The sequence below is a fragment of the Homo sapiens genome, chromosome 15, assembly GCF_000001405.40.
Source record: "Homo sapiens chromosome 15, GRCh38.p14 Primary Assembly".
In the NCBI taxonomy this organism is placed as follows: Eukaryota; Metazoa; Chordata; class Mammalia; order Primates; family Hominidae; genus Homo; species Homo sapiens.
In genome coordinates, this window is record NC_000015.10 from 32,425,566 (window position 1) to 32,441,913 (window position 16,348).

General features: G+C 47.2%; 1 non-coding gene and 2 pseudogenes across 2 annotated transcripts in view, besides 1 other annotated feature; 1 reads left to right on the forward strand and 2 right to left on the reverse strand.

Moving 5' to 3' along the window:
* ULK4P1 (ULK4 pseudogene 1) overlaps positions 1–9,484 on the reverse strand; it is a 28,439-nt pseudogene extending 18,955 nt beyond the window's left edge. Inside the window, exons 1-3 of the transcript NR_026858.1 lie at positions 9,468–9,484; positions 9,023–9,070; positions 2,626–2,750 (exon numbers count right to left, since the gene is read on the reverse strand). The product of NR_026858.1 is annotated as a ULK4 pseudogene 1 (transcript). The remainder of the gene's footprint in view (positions 1–2,625; positions 2,751–9,022; positions 9,071–9,467) is intronic.
* Positions 1–16,227: part of a non allelic homologous recombination region, noted in NCBI's record as "15q13.2-13.3 gamma inversion distal recombination region, recombines with the 15q13.2-13.3 gamma inversion proximal recombination region", that runs on past the window's edge. NCBI's record gives the evidence for it as "EXISTENCE:nucleotide sequencing assay evidence [ECO:0000219][PMID:25326701]".
* LOC124900356 (U8 small nucleolar RNA) lies at positions 723–855 on the reverse strand. The gene has a single exon (XR_007064808.1). It is a non-coding gene; the product is annotated as a U8 small nucleolar RNA (small nucleolar RNA).
* Positions 10,931–14,378, forward strand: DNM1P32 (dynamin 1 pseudogene 32; annotated as a pseudogene).

Genomic DNA, 16,348 nt, shown 5'->3' on the forward strand with positions numbered 1-16,348 from the left:
CATTACTGTATTTACTGTAGTATTCTTACTAAAATGCATATTCTCATTCTAATCTCATAATCCAAATTCATAATCTCATTCGAGTCATGAGAAACCCTTAGACAAACCTAAATTAAGGGACATTCTTCAAAACACCCAACCAGTTACTCTTCAAAGTGTCAAGGACTTGAGTCATACGTTTTATAACATGTATTACAAAAACATACAAAGGCCAGGTGCCGTGGCTCACGCCTGTAATCCCAGCACTTTGGGAGGCCTAGGCAGGTGGATCATGAGGTCAGGAGTTCAAGACCAGCCTGGCCAACATGGTAAAACCCCATCTCTACTAAAACTACAAAACTTAGCCAGGTGCAGTGGCAGGTGCCTGTAATCCTAGCTACTCATGAGGCTGAGGCAGGAGAATAGCTTGAACCCGGTCGGCAGAGGTTGCAGTGAGCTGAGATCGTGCCACTACACTCCAGCCTGGGTGACAAAAAACAAAACAAAACAAAATAAAAGACAAACTGTCAAGATCATGAAAGACAAGCAAAGTCTGAGAAATTCTGACAAAACCGTGAAAAACTAGGACAGACTATATGAGACTAAGGAGGCATAACAACTAACTGTAATGTGGGATCCTGGAACAAAAAAAAAGAGGACATTAGAGGCAACCGGTAAAATTCAAATGCATTTGGTAGTTAACAGCACTATTCTCATGTTTTATTTTTCCCTTTTCAGGAAGAATTCGAAAGGAGCAGTCAGGGTATTGCATGCCATCATTACACAGAGATATCAATCAAGTATCATGCAACTCCAACTACCACATTCTACTGCCCTCCAAAAGGAGGAACAGGTAAGGATTATCCCGCCTGACTAACACTATACCAATGTTAATTCCCAGGTTTTGCTAACTATACTATAGACCTATAAGATGTGAACATTAAGAGCAGCTGGGCAAAAGCTATACAGGAGTTCTCAACTATTTTTTAATCTTTTCTCTAAAAGTAGTTTAGAATTAAAAGTTAAACACAAAAATTTCCACTGATGAAGGCTTCCCATAAACTATCAAATATGGTTATAAGAGGAAAAAACGAAACACAGAATATTGTGTAAAGCAAGCTTGTCCAACCCGCAGCCCGTGGGCTGGATGCGGCCCAAGACAGCTTTGAATATGGCCCAACACAAATTCATAAACTCTCTTAAAACATTGTAAGAATTTTTTTGCAATTTTTTTTATTGGTTTTTTAGTTCATCAGCTATTGTTAGTGTATTTTATGTGTTGCCCAAGACAATTCTTCTTCCAGTGTGGCCCAGGGAAGCCAAAAGACTGGACACCCCTGGGAAAGATATCACAAATTGTTCTAGAAAGCCCATTTTGAAAATGCGCCAATGCACATCAAACTTAGCATAATAAAGTTACACTGCCAGACATATGAACTCACAAAAAGAATTAGCTCCATTATGAAAAACAGCTAAATCATCTATATAAAATGCTGTCTATCTAGAAAATAAACATGAATCCAAAAACCCTTACATTGTTCTAAACCACACTAATGTTCCCAATGAGACAAGAAAAAAACAGTCATGAATTAATACAGAAAAAGATATTTAAAAAAGAAAAAGAAGGCCAGGTGTGGTGGCTCATGCCTGTAATCCCAGCACTTTGAGAGGCCGAGGTGGGTGGATCACAAGGTCAGGAGATCGAGACCATCCTGGCTTACATGGTGAAACCCTGTCTCTACTAAAAATACAAAAAATTAGCAGGGCGTGGTGGCGGGCACCTGTAGTCCCAGCTACTTGGGAGGCTGAGGCAGGAGAATGACATGAACCTGGGAGGCGGAGCTTGCAGTGAGCCAAAATCGCGTCATTGCACTCCAGCCTGTGTGACAGAGCAAGACTCTGTCTCAAAAAAATAAAAAATAAAAGTAAAACTAAAAAAAAGTAAAAGAAGCAGTAAAGTTAAAATAGAGAATAAGTAGTGGAATGTGAGTATGTTGGGGAGCTGGAAGTCAAGACAAAACAGAGGGACTTAGAAATGCATCTGTTTTTTAAAGTAAATACTCATTATCCCCCAGCAATAAAGTATTATATTCCAAAAGACAAGAAGCAAAAAAACTCACAGTGGTTTAGAAGTACATTGTGAACCATGACTCCTCAAGTTCCCATAGTGTCTCCCCACCATCTCCCCTGCAGTATTAACAACCTGTGACAGGGCAGGGCTTCCGTGTGATCTGCCTGCCCAGCCCAGCCTGGTGAGCAGTGCCCTCTGACTGCTTCTGCCTTCAAAACACATCAGAGACTAGAATACTTAGAGTGATTCACATTAGTGCAGATGGAGAAACGATGGGACTGAGAGCTAAGGTCTGAGGTCAAGAGGCTGGCAACCCCTCCGTGGCATGTGGAAGAAAGCAGTAGTGAGAAGCAGAGCTGACTCATTCAAAACAGAGGGGGGAAAACTTAGAACTCCAGTGAAGCGGAAGTGAAGGCAGAGGAAAGGGTTGCAGACAGAGCGGGAGCTGGAAATGCAGACATGCAGCACAAATGAAAGAGAAGCGGACAAGAGAAACAGGAAAGATTAGACAGTAAATAATATTCTGAATGAAAATCTTATGCAGATTTCAGATCTCAGTAAAGTCTACAACTCACTTGTCAGAGTGCTTTCTGCACCTTTGGATTGTCAATAATGGGGGTGACAACAAGATCTGAGTCGTGTAGATAAGCTCTCTCATCTGGGATTCCAGGTCCTGCTGACTCAGGTGTCCACTTGTAATCTGAAATGAGAACAAAAATTTGACTTTGTTTCTGTGACTAATATAGAGCTTTAAAACACTGAACTAATATGATGCTGAGGAAGACACCACTGTAAAATATCACCTATATCAATGTACTTCCACTGCTATTCAAGACACTTGCAGTCTCACTTGATTTTCACAAAAATCCTAAACTGTAGGTACCATAATTTCCATTTTACAGATAAAAATATAAAACTCTGAGAAAGTAACTGAATTGCTCATGTTACCATTAAAACTGGCTAGGACTACAAAAAAGATCTTTACAATTCAACGTTCTAAACTCTGATGAGGCAAACTGCTTTTTCGATTACCAGCATGGTTTTTTTTGGTTTTTTTTTTTTTTTTTAGGGATGGAGTCTCAGTCTGTCACATAGGCTGGAGGGCAGTGGTGCAACCCTGGCTCACTGCAACCTCTGCCTCCTGGGTTCAAGTGATTCTCCTGCCTCAGCCTCCCAAGTAGTGGAATTACGGGTGTGCACCACCATGCCCAGCTAATTTTTTTTTTTTTTTTTTTTTTTTTTGAGACAGAGTCTTGCTCTGTCACCAGGCTAGAGTGCAGTGGCGCGATCTCAGCTCACCACAACCTCTGTCTCCTGGGTTAAAGTCATTCTCCTGCCTCAGCCTCTCCAGTAGCTGGGACAAGGTTTCACCATGTTGGCCAGGCTGGTCTCAAACTCCTGGCCTCAGGTGATCCACCTGCCTCGGCCTCCCAAAGTGCTGGGATTATAGGTGTGAGCCACTGCACCCGACCCATGGCTTTATTTTTCATTCATAGAATGCTGATCAATTTATTTCTGCTTTACAGAATATTCAATGTGAAGTTGAAACTGTAACATACAAAAATTTTCAGACTTAAATACAGACCGGTTACCTAAGTGTTAAACCTCAATTATTTATTAAGCCTCATTAGAGATGATACATAATAAAATCAATCACCAGACATTCACCATCAGTTATTCCTTTGAGATGGTTCTTTGTGCTCTATTTAAACATAATTTGTATTCCTAGTGCTATGCCCCAGTATTTCCCATCAGAAAAAAAAAAAGGATTTATGCTTAAGAACCTTAAAAGAAACAATGACTAGCAAACTAAATAAAATAGAAAAGTAAATCAGTGAAGTAAGGAAGAAGGAAAATAAATTATCCAAAACTAGTGAGGAAGGGTCATAGATAAAGGAACAGAGTTAGCTAAGAAAATTCCTGGAAACCCAAGGTGCCCCTTGCAACTCAGATGAAAGATATACGAAAACACACAAAGAGGCCGAGGCCGGGCACGGTGGCTCAAGCCTGTAATCCCAGCAATTTGGGAGGCCGAGGCGGGTGGATCACGAGGTCAGGAGTTCAAGACCAGCCTGACCAACATGGTGAAACACTGTCTCTACTAAAAATACAAAAATTAGCTGGGTGTGGTGGCATGTGCCTGTAATCCCAGCTACTCAGGAGGCTGAGGCAGGAGAATCACCTGAACCTGGGAGGCGGAGGTTGCAGTGAGTTGAGATTGTGCCACTGCACCAATTAAAACAATTGTATGCAAAAATTAGTTTCCTATAGGTAAATTGAGTGTAGGCACAAATGCCAAGTTATAACAAATATCCCACTCACAATAGCAAAAATATATAAAACAAAATGTTCAGGAATAAACTAAATGATCAATAATTGCAATGAGATCATGATCATTAAATGAAAATAATCGTTATAAAATTATACTCTCTTGCTTCAAAGTGAACACATTATGTATAAAACCAGAAGTAGTAATATCAAAATGTATGAGATGTATGAGGTTACAGTGAACTATGATGGTGCCACTGCACTCCAGCCTGAGCAACAGGCTCTAAAAAAAAAAAAAAGGTAATCAGTGTTTACTTGGGAATTATATTGTAAATAATTTTTCTATTGTCTTTGTCCTCTTTTATATTTTACAAGTTTTTTACAATTATATATGTTTTGTAATAGAATAAAAAGTATCATTTAAAAATTATAAAACATAAGGCCAACACAGTGGCTCACACCTGTAATCCCAGCTCTTTGGGAGGCCGAGGCGGGCAGATCACTTGAGTCCAGGAGTTTCAGACCAGCCTGGACAACATGGGGAAACCTCTACTAAAAATACAAAAAATTAGCCATGCATGGTGGCGCACACCTGTAGTCGCAGCTACTCAGGTGGCTGCGATGAGATGAGATAAGCACCTAAGCCCAAGAAGTTGAGGCTGCAATGAGCCATGATCGTGCCACTCCACTCCACCCTGGGTGACAGGAGTGAGGCTCTGTCTCAAAAATAAATAAATACCGAGATATATATGTAAAATAAACTACCTTAGGTATTCACATTATTGATTATATTTTCTCAATAGAATGATTATATATTCCTCTTTATAACCATCTGCCAGAAGAGCTTCAACATCTATCGCATTTCAGAATGAATTTTTTTTTTTTTTTTTTTTGAGACGGAGTCTAACTCTGTCGCCCAGGCTGGAGTGCAGTGGTGCGATCTCAGCTCACCGCAACCTCCGCCTCCCAGGTTCACACCATTCTCCTGCCTCAGCCTCTCAAGTAGCTGGGACTACAGGTGCCCACCACCACACCCGGCTAATTTTTTGTATTTTTAGTACAGATGGGCTTTCACTGTGTTAGCCAAGATGGTCTTGATCTCCTGACCTTGTGATCTGCCCTCCTCAGCCTCCCACAGTGCTTGGATTACAGGTGTGAGCCACTGCGCCCGGCCCAGAATAAATTTTTAAATTTACATTGATTTTCTATTTCACATAACCAAAAAATTAGCACAGTCAGATTTTATTATAACCAATTTATACTAAATTTCAAAGCAGAAATAAGCTTCACAAGGTCCAAATACAGTTCACATTACATCAAAACTACAGTTAAAAACTAAAAGCAATTATATTTGTCAACCAATAAGTAGCATAAAAATTACTTAGAATTAATTCAAAGTAGGTCTGCATTCAACACAACTACGATTGAAAGAAATTAAAGGAAGACCTAAATAAGTACAAATACATCCTGTGTTCGTGGAGGAAAACTTAATATTGTTAAAATGGCAGTACTTTCTAAGTTGATCTACATATTCAATGCGACTGTGATTAAAATCTCAGCTGGCTCCTTTGCAGAAACTGACAAGCTGATCTTAAAATTCATATGGAAATGCAAGTGACCCAGAACAGCCAAACCCACCTTAAAAAACTTTCTGGAGGATTCATACTTTCTGATTTCAAAGCTTACTAAACAGCTACAGTAATCAAGAGTGTGCTACTGGTATAAGGACAGATGAACAGAGAAAAGAATAGAATCCAGAAATAAACTTTCACATATACAGTCAATTGATCTTCAATAAGCGTTCCAAGACAATTCAATGGGGAAAGAATAAGCTTTTCAACAGATAGTTCTGAGATAACTGGATGTCTAGGTGCAAAACAATGAAGCTATACCCCCCTACTTCATGCCGCATGCAAAAATTAATTCAAATGGATAAAAGAGCTCAATATAAGAGATATTGATAAACTATAAAACTCATAGAAAAAAACATAGGCAGAAACCTTTGTGACCTTGGAGTAGCAACGTTTTTTTAGATATTACACCAAAAGCACAAGGAGCAAAAAAACACAAATGAAAAAAGATAAATTGGACTATATCAAAATTTAAAATCTTTCTGCTTCAAAGGACACCATCAAGAAAGAAAAAAGACAATCCAGAAAAAGGAAGAAAGTTGTTATAACTCCTATCTAGAATATGTAAAAAATTCTTACAGATAAATAATAAAGAGATACATAACCCAATTAAAAATAAGTTAAATTTTGGAATAAGTATTTCCCCAAAAAAAACAGACAAATGGCCAATAAACACATGAAAAGATACTCAACATCATTTGCCATCAGGTAAATGCAAATCAAAACCACTAAGACATAGAAATTCACACCTACTAGCTGGGCGCAGTGGCTCACACATGTAATCCAAATACTTTGGGAGGCGGAGACAGGTGGATCATTTCAGGTCAGGAGTTCGAGACCAGCCTGGCCAACATGGTGAAACCCCGTCTCTACTAAAAATACAAAAATTAGCCAGCTGGTAGTGGTGCATGCCTATAATCCCAGCTACTCGGAAGGCTGAGGCAGAAGAATTGCTTGAGCCTGGGAGATGGAGGTTGCAGTGAGCCAAGATCATGCCACTGCACTCCAGACTGGGCGACAGAGTCAGACCCTGTCTCAATCAATCACTCAATCAATGGAATTTCACACCTGCTAGATGTGAAATAGGATGGCGATCATGAGAAAGACAGGCAATGCAAAACTATTCACAATAGCCAATAGGTGGATGCAACCCAAGTATTCATCAACAGAGGAAAAGATAAAAAGGCATATTAAATACATACAAGGGAATATTATTCAGCCTTAAAAACAAATGAAATTCTGGCACATGCTACAACATGGATGAACGTTAAAGACATTATGCTAAGTGAAATAAGCCAGGCACAAAAGGACAACTACTATATGAGACCACTTATGCCAGCAGTCCCCAAACTTTTTGGCATCAGGAGCCAGTTTTGCAGAAGACAATTTTTCCACAGACAAGGTTGGGGGAGATGATTTTGGGATGATTCAAGGACATTACATTTATTGTGCATTTTATTTCTATTATTATTACATTGTAACATATAATGAAATAATTGTACAACTCACTATAATATAGAATCAGGGCTGGGCACGGTGGCTCACGCCTGTAATCCCAGCACTTTGGGAGGCCAAGGTGGCCAGATCATGAGGTCAGGAGATCGAGACCATCCTGGCTAACACGGTGAAACCCCGTCTCTACTAAAAAATACAAAAAATTGTTGGGGCGTGGTGGCTGGCGCCTGTAGTCCCAGCTACTCAGGAGGCTGAGGCAGGAGAATGGCGTGAACCTGGGAGGCGGAGCTTGCAGTGAGCCCAGATTGCACCACTGCACTCCAGCCTGGGTAACAGAGCGAGACTCCCTCTCAAAATAAATAAATAAATAAATAAATAAATAAATAATAAAAAAAACTACAAATGATAAGCAACATAGAATAGATATGTAAGGAAAGGCTTTAAAAAGGAAAATAAGATCAATATAAACTAAGAAAAAATTATTACAGAACAAAGAGATTCTAGGCAGAAGACAAAAGAGTATCAAAATCACTTCGTAAAGATACTTGTGAATATATTACATGTATAAAACAAAACAGAGGCCGGGCGCGGTGGCTGACGCCTGTAATCCCAGCACTTTGGGAGGCTGAGGCGGGTGGATCATGAGGTCAGGAGATCAAGACCATGCTGGCTAACATGGTGAAACCGCGTCTCTACTAAAAAATCCGTCTCTACTAAAAACACAAAAGTTAGCCAGGCGTGGTGGCGGGCGCCTGTAATCTCAGCTACTCGGGAGGCTGACGCAGGAGAATCGCTTTAACCAGTGGACTGTCAAGAGAGGTAGGCTGCAGTAAGCCGAGATCGCGCCACTGCACTCCAGCCTGGGCGACAGAGTGAGTGAGACTCTGTCTCAACAAAAAGAAAAAAAGAAAGAAAACTTTTTTTTGAGAGAGAGAGAGAGAAGTCTCGCTCTTCTCCCCCAGGTTTGAGTGCAATGGCTCGATCTCAGCTCACTGTAACCTCCGCCTCCCGGGTTCAAACGATTCTCCTGCCTCTGCCTCCCAAATAGCTGGGATTAAGTCGCCTGCCAACACGACCGGCTAATTTTTCTATTTTTTAGTAGAGACGGGTTTCACCATGTTGGCCAGGCTGGTCTCCAACTCCTGACCTCAAGTGATCAGCCCGGTTGGCCTCCCAAAATGCTGGGATTACAGGCGTGAGCCACTACGCCCGGCCAAAAAACCGAAAATCTTAAAGGCCTTTCCCCTTCCCCGCCTGGGCTCCAACAACGCGGGAGCCGCCCTGCCCCGCCCTGTCGCGGTCCCTAGAGCAGGTGGGCTGACTGAGGGCGACCATGGGTCCCAAGAGGGCTCCCGCAGCCGCGGGCTCCCACCTCGAGGCGCAGCGACAGGGGCCGAGAGGGGCCAGCAGCCCCCAAGCCAGCCCCGCGCTAGGAGTTGGAGAGACGCGCCCTCCGCCTTCTCCCACCCAAGCCTCTGCCTTGCCGGGCGGGCCAGTTGCGGGAGAAAGGGGCGGGGAACCGCGGCCTCTCTGGGGCAGCTTCCCCTTTCTCCTGGGACTCTGGGCACCCGCTTTCCGCCCTCGCCCTGCCCCGCCAGGCCGCCACCCGGCGACTCACCTTAATGTTGCGGTGGGGCGTGAGCCGCGGCTGTGGCTCCTGGTTCTCCTGGAAGATAGAGGCCAGTAACTTCGGTTTGGCCTTGAACCCGGACATGGACATCTTCCCCTCACCTCCGGCGGGAGGGGCGCGGAAAAGGAGCCTGTCCCGAGCCGCTGTCATGGCCGCGACCACCAGGCGGGGCCCCCGGCCGAGCTCTCGCGGCTCCACCTCTCCCCGCCGCCGTGACCCTCGTGGGAGCGCGGCTGGAAAATGGCAAGGGGCACCGAGGACTTGGCGGGAGCTATGTGGCGGCCTGCGGGGCTGCTCCCTTTATAACCGACTCCACCGACAGGAGGCGCGGCTCCCGTCAAGCCGCAGTTTAAAAGGGCAACAGCACCACTGCCCCCGCTACCGCCTGGGAAAGGGCTGCCCCTACCCCGCCCCGGTCCTCGTCGCCCCTCACCTCTTACCCCTCACCCCTCACCCCTCAACCCGGCGCGCCCCGCGCGCACCCGGCGTGCCCGCGCTACCGGCTGCCCCCTCCTCTCTTGACCCAGCACCTTTCTGCCCGACCGATCTGGTCCCTTCCTCACACTCGCGACTGGGCGGCACAACCACCAACTCTGTGTGTGTGTGTGTGTGTGTGTGTGTGTGTGTGTGTGTGTCTATGTGTGTGTGTGTGTGTCCCTGTCCCAAGGGGGCGTGGCTCACGCCTGTAATCCCACCACTTTGGGAGGCTAAGGCGGGTGGATCAGGAGGTCAGGAGATAAGACTATCCTGGCTAACACGGTAAAACCCCGTCTCTACGAAAAAAATACAAAAAATTAGCAGGGCGTGGTGGCGGACGCCTGTAGTCCCAGCTACTTGGGAGGCTGAGGGAGGAGAATGGCGTGAAACCGGGAGGCAGAGCTTGCAGTGAGCTGAGAGCGCGCCACTGCACTCCAGCCTGGGCGACAGACCAAGACTCCATATAAAAAAAAAAAAAGAAAAAAAACCTCAAAGGATCACTAGTGGTCAGCAACTATGTGCAAATAAATAGGAAAACCTACCAAAAATGGATAAATTTCCAGACACATCTAACCTACCAAGATTGAACCATGATGAAACCCAAAACCTGAACAAACCAATAACAAATAATGGGATCAAAGTGGTAATAAAAAGTCTCCCAGCAAAGAAAAGCCTGGGACCTGATGATTCACTGCTGAATTCTAGCAAACATTTAAAGAAGAACTAATACCAACCTTACCCAAACGATTCCAAAAATAGAGAAGGAGGGAATACTTGCAAACTCATTCTACAGGGCTAGCATTACCCTGATAACAAAATCAAACACACAGACCAAAAAAGAAAACTACAGGCCAATATCACTGATGAATATTGATGCAAAAATCCTCAATAAAATATTAGCTAACTGAATTCTACAACACATTAAAGTTGGGGTGCAGTGTCCCAGGTTCACTCAACCCTTCCCGTTTTCCTCTGTGTGTGTGTCTACTTTGCCGTGTTCCCTGGTGGCGGCGGCGGTGGCAGTGTTGGTGCATGGGCCTCCCAGGACAAGGGGAAAGTGAGTATGCCCCTTTCTTGCCCCCTGCCAGGCGTCTGCAGCCTGGCACAAGCTCTGGCCAGGTCTCCAACAGGGGACCTGGAGATGTTTTTTTCCAATTTCTGGATTGGTAACTTGAGGCAGATTCTGGGCACTAGAGTCAGAACTAAGAGGAGACTGAATCAGGGGAGTCTGGGGTCCTGAGAGGCAGATACCTGAAACCGTCTAGAGCGTGTGGGGAGCTCGGTGCATGTTCACGCCAGTTGTTTTTCTCTGTGCCTCAATGTTCCAGGTACCCTTGGAGGTGCTGAGATCCTAGGGATTCCTGGAGCCTGGCTGCATGGCCTGGCCACCCTGATGCCACTGTGTTCTCCATGACAGGACAGCAAGGCTGAGGAGAATGGCTCCGACAGCTTCATGCACTCCATGGACCCATAGCTGGAGCGGCAAATGGAAACCACCCAGAACCTTGTGGACTCCTACATGGCCATTGTCAACAAGACCGTGTGGGACCTCATGGTTGGTGTCATGCCCAAGACCATCATGCACGTCATGATCAACAACGTGCATGCACCGCCTCATAGGGGCAGGGGGCTCCTGTAGCACTGGGGATGCAGGTGGCCATGTTGGCCTGGGGGAGATGCTGACCAGCCCTATGGGACCAAGGTCCAGGGAGGGAGGCACAGTCCAGACCAGAGCTGTCTCATAGAAATATAACGTGGGACTGGGGACAGTGGCCCATGTCTGTAATCCCAGCACTTTGGGAGGCCAAGGCAAGAGGATAGCTTGAGCCCAGGAGTTCGAGACCAGCTTGGGCAACATAGTGAGACCTGATCTCTACACTAAAATTTTAAAAATAGCTGGGCTTGGTGGTGGCACGTACCTATAGTCCTAGCTACTCGACAGGCTGACATTGGAGGATCACTTTGAGCCCAAGAAGTTGAGGCTACAGTGAGTGGTGATCTCGCCCACTGTCCTCCAGCCTAGCGACAGAGCAAGATCCTATCTCCAAAAAACATTTTTAAGAAACTGAGTAGACCGGTGTCCTGGTGGCATGATAGGTCCTGGGTCCCCTCCCAGATGTGTGACCTTGGACAGGTGACTTTTCCTTTGGACCTCAGTGTCCCTATCTGAGTGAGAAAAGGGTGGTGGGGAGGCAGATCTTTGAGTCTAAGCGGTGTAGAAGCCGCGTCTGAAAAGCCATACTCAGGGCTCCAAGTCCAGCACACAGTCCCAGCAGGGCCCGGCAGGAGGCCAGGGCAGCAAAGGCATCAGGTCCCAACCTCCTTCCCTCTTTGCCCGCTCTCAGACCAAGGAGTTCATCTTCTCGGAGCTGCTGTCCAACCTGTACTCACGTGGGGACCAGAAAACGCTGATGGAAGAGTCGGCAGAGCAGGCACAGTGGCGCGACGAGATGCTGCGCATGTACCACGTGCTGAAGGAGGCACTCGGCATCATCGGCAACATCAACACGACCACCATCAGCACGCACATGGGGGCCCGTGGACAACTCCTGCCTGCAGGTGCAGAGCGTCCTTGCCGGATGCAGGTACCAAGGCTGGCTCCCACGGCCCCAAAGCCCCCCAGCCCCCATGGCTGAGCCTGGGGACTCTTGGAACAGGCTCCGTGCCCACGCTGGTAGACATGGGTGCTCCCTGGAGCCGTCACAGAGCTCATGGTTTATGGTGTAAGGGCTGAGAGCTTAGAGGGGGTGGTGTGTGGGGCTGTACTCTGAGGCGGCCAGAGTCCTAGGATAGTCCTCCTGTGCACACCGCACCTGTTGGGCAGTCTGAGTCATGCTGCCAGGGCAGGGCATCCAGCTCCCAGCCTGGGAGTGCTGAGAGCCAAATCCACTGCAGAGCAGGGGTGATAGTCAGAGTCCCACCTCCTCTATCTGTCGGCAATGCAGTGGTGAGATAGGATAAAACCTTGAGAGTCCCATACACACGGTCAACCCACAACACACCTCACAGGCCAGGCAGGAAACACAGGCCCCTTCCCTCCCTCCCAGGTACCATCATAGCTGCTAGCGTGTGACTGAAGGCAGGGTCCCTGGCCCCCGCTGAAGCACTATTGCTGGCCAGCAGGCTCACGCACCTTGGAGTGTTGCTCCTAGAGGTCACCTCTGCTATTCAGCCAAGGGGACCACAGTGCCTGCTGGCCCAGCTGACCTCCGCCCCACAAGCCCACCCACCTCCCCTGCCATAGACTCTCCCTCTTCTGCTTTTCCCAGCAGGAAGGGCCCAGCCTCACCTATCCGACCTGCAACCCCCAACAAGCTGAGGCTCCCCTCTTAGACTTATAAGTCTATAGCCAGTGGCATCCAGCTGCATGCCCTCCTTTCCTCCCCCAGGGACCCTTCAAGGGTTCCTGGGCTTTCTGACCCCCCAGAGGGGGCTCCGGCGATCACTCCACCCATCCATCCCTTTTAGCTTCATCATCCTGGTTCAAGCAGTGTTTCTTCTCTATCAGGCCTGGTGGCTGTTGTTTTGGGCTCCCCAAGGCGAGAGGTGGCCCTGGACAAGTGGGTTGGAAGACACGGTGACCAGAGAAGAGGGAAGCCCAAAGGGGCTGAGCATCAGTCTTAACAGTGGGTGCACTGGGTGCCGTGGAAGAGGCCAGCACGTGTGGGGTGGGGAGGGCTGCCACAGCCCCCAGGCACTACATGTGAAACTCCGGCTCCTCCCTCTGTCTTCCTCCCCTTTCCCTTCCAGCCCCTCTTTTCCAGGAACCTTGCCACACCCGCACGTGCACCCTTTACTCCTTGGCCCTCCCACAGCTGCTGTGGCACACCTGTGCTCTGCACTTGCCTCACCAGCTCTCTGCTCGCTTTTTTTTTATTATTATTATTATACTTTAAGTTTTAGGGTACATGTGACAATGTGCAGGTTAGTTACATATGTATACATGTGCCATGCTGGTGCGCTGCACCCACTAAATCGTCATCTAGCATTGGGTATATCTCCCAATGCTATCCCTCCCCCCTCCCCCCACCCCACAACAGTCCCCAGAGTGTGATGTTCCCCTTCCTGTGTCCATGTGCTCTCATTGTTCAATTCCCACCTATGAGTGAGAATATGCGGTGTTTGGTTTTTTGTTCTTGCGATAGTTAACTGAGAATGATGATTTCCAATTTCATCCATGTCCCTGCAAAGGACATGAACTCATCATTTTTTATGGCTGCATAGTATTCCATGGTGTATATGTGCCACATTTTCTTAATCCAGTCTATCATTGTTGGACATTTGGGTTGGTTCCAAGTCTTTGCTATTGTGAATAATGCCGCAATAAACATACGTGTGCATGTGTCTTTATAGCAGCATGATTTATAGTCCTTTGGGTACATACCCAGTAATGGGATGGCTGGGTCAAATGGTATTTCTAGTTCTAGATCCCTGAGGAATCGCCACACTGACTTCCACAATGGTTGAACTAGTTTACAGTCCCACCAACAGTGTAAAAGTGTTCCTATTTCTCCACATCCTCTCCAGCACCTGTTGTTTCCTGACTTTTTAATGATTGCCATTCTAACTGGTGTGAGATGATATGCTCGCTTTTCTCTCTCCTGTCTTCTCTCTGCTTTCTCTCCAACTGCCAGCCAATCGGCTCAGGCAAGTCCATCCCATCCTGAGAGCCCCAGGCCCCCCTTTGACCTCTAAACAGATTCCTCCTCTTCTCAGAGACTTCCCTTTCCAAGCCTGCCTGGGCGGCTGTTCTGTGACTTGGCAGTGGCTCCCCCAGCCCCAAAGCCAGCCCCCCTTCATCTGTGACTTAGTCTATTGTTGCGGTGAGCTGACACATCCAGGTGTGACCGTTGCTGAAAACTTGTGCCCCCCTCTGTGGTATGCCCCTGCCCTGTTCTAGAAATATCTACAAATACCCATATACATACACACACACACACACACACACACACACACACACACACACACATACACCTACATGTGGCCGACCGCCTCGCCTCTAGCGCTGGGAATCAGTCACCGTGCTGTCCTTTTGGAGTCTTGTGGCCAAACAAGAGAAAGCTAACCCCTGACATTGCCCCTCCAAAGTGCGCTACCTTCAGTGAGCCTCCCTGTCACGCCCAGCCTATGGAGAGACACACCCCGCCATCCCTCCCGCCCCCCACCCCCCCACCAAGCATGGGAGTGCTGTGCAGGCAGCTGAGTGGCCTGACAGTCTCTACCAGTCCTGCTGTCCCTTGGCTGAGAATCAAACCCGCTTCTGGATGGCGGGGAAGTGTGTCCTCTGCTGGCTGTGTTCTCTGTGGAGCTCAGGGGAGGGGAAAGGCCAAGCCATTTCTAGGGTGCTGTTGGGAGCAGTGAAAAGGCCATGCCCTTTCCAAGGGACACTTTTCCTGGAAAGCCCCTGGAGCTTAGCGGGCTCTTATCCTGTGAAGCCGGCTCTGGCCACCAGGGGGCAGGGCCATGAACTCAGCCCAGAGGGAGCCTGCAGGGCAGCCGGCACTCTGGAGGCACAGACAGAACAGGCCACCAGGTGCAGACAGGAGAGGGAGACAAGGGGATAGAACGGAAGATGCCGGGGCTGGGTGGAAGTCAGTGCCCTTAGGTGCTGGTACCTGTCTTCCGGGCCACCGCTAGATCAGGCTTCTGAGCCTGTTGGCTGTCAGGGCCAGACTGCGCCCCATAGACTACATGGCAGTCCCCTTGGAATCCCCCAGGCGCCACCAGGCAGCATACAGGTAACACGCCTGGAAGGTCCCCAACAGCCTAGCTGGACATGCTCAAGACACTCTGGGACTCCTTGTTTGGTGGCACAAACTCCAGGACCCAGTGAGGGAAACGGAAACACACCAGGCCGAGCAGTATGGCTAAATCCATTTATTCCAAAATAAAAAGCAAAATAAACAGGAGTCGCATCACCAGGGAGCCATGACCCCATCCCCGCCTCCTTCCTCTGTCCTATGCTAGCAATAAATAAGTTTCCCAGCCACAAATAATTATTACAACCTCCTCCCCATGTGCCGGCTCCAACCTCAGCTAGGTATGACACAGGGGTGGCCCTACCCTCTGGAATATACAAAACCTTACACAGACACAATGTGTACACCGGGGAACGGGGGCCACCCCAGCAGCCCGTGCCCTCGCCTGGTCCACAGTTAGCCCCACTGTCCTGCCTCTCTGAATAAGAAGGTGGGAGCCCCCCTGAGGAAAAAGTTGCTATGGTGAGAGTAAGGGGGGCATCAGGCCTCCTCCAAACAAACCAACTCCACCAGCCTCTGGCTCTTAAATAACAATCATCATCATCCAGAAATGTAGGGACTCAGCCCTGGTCAGGGTGGCAAAGGGTCTGTTTGTCTTTCCCCATTAGACAGAGGTCTTGTCCTGCTACCCTCATTGTAAAGGGCTGCCTGGGAAGGGGTGGTAGGGACATGGTGGCGGTGGAGACCCCAGCCCCACTTCTCCAGGCTTTGCTGACAGGGGCCTGCTTTTAATTTTTATTTTTATTCCATGACTTTTTAAAAAAGAATCCCGTAACTTCTTTTTCATAACTTTTTTGGTAACTTTTCATAATACTGTTTTCTACTTTGTTCCCACAAGTTTTTTTGCCACAACGTTTTTACATTTTTTATCCCATAACTTTTTCAACCCATAACTTTTTTAATCCCATAACTTTTAAAATCTTGTGTTCTTTTAAGAAACACTTGCATAGTTATATCACAACTTTGTAAAAATGAAACACATTATCTCATGCCAAGCATGCCCAGCATTTGCACAGTATCAATACCTTTAATACTATAGTTTTCAAGAAACGCAAAATAAAATTTTAAGACAAAAACA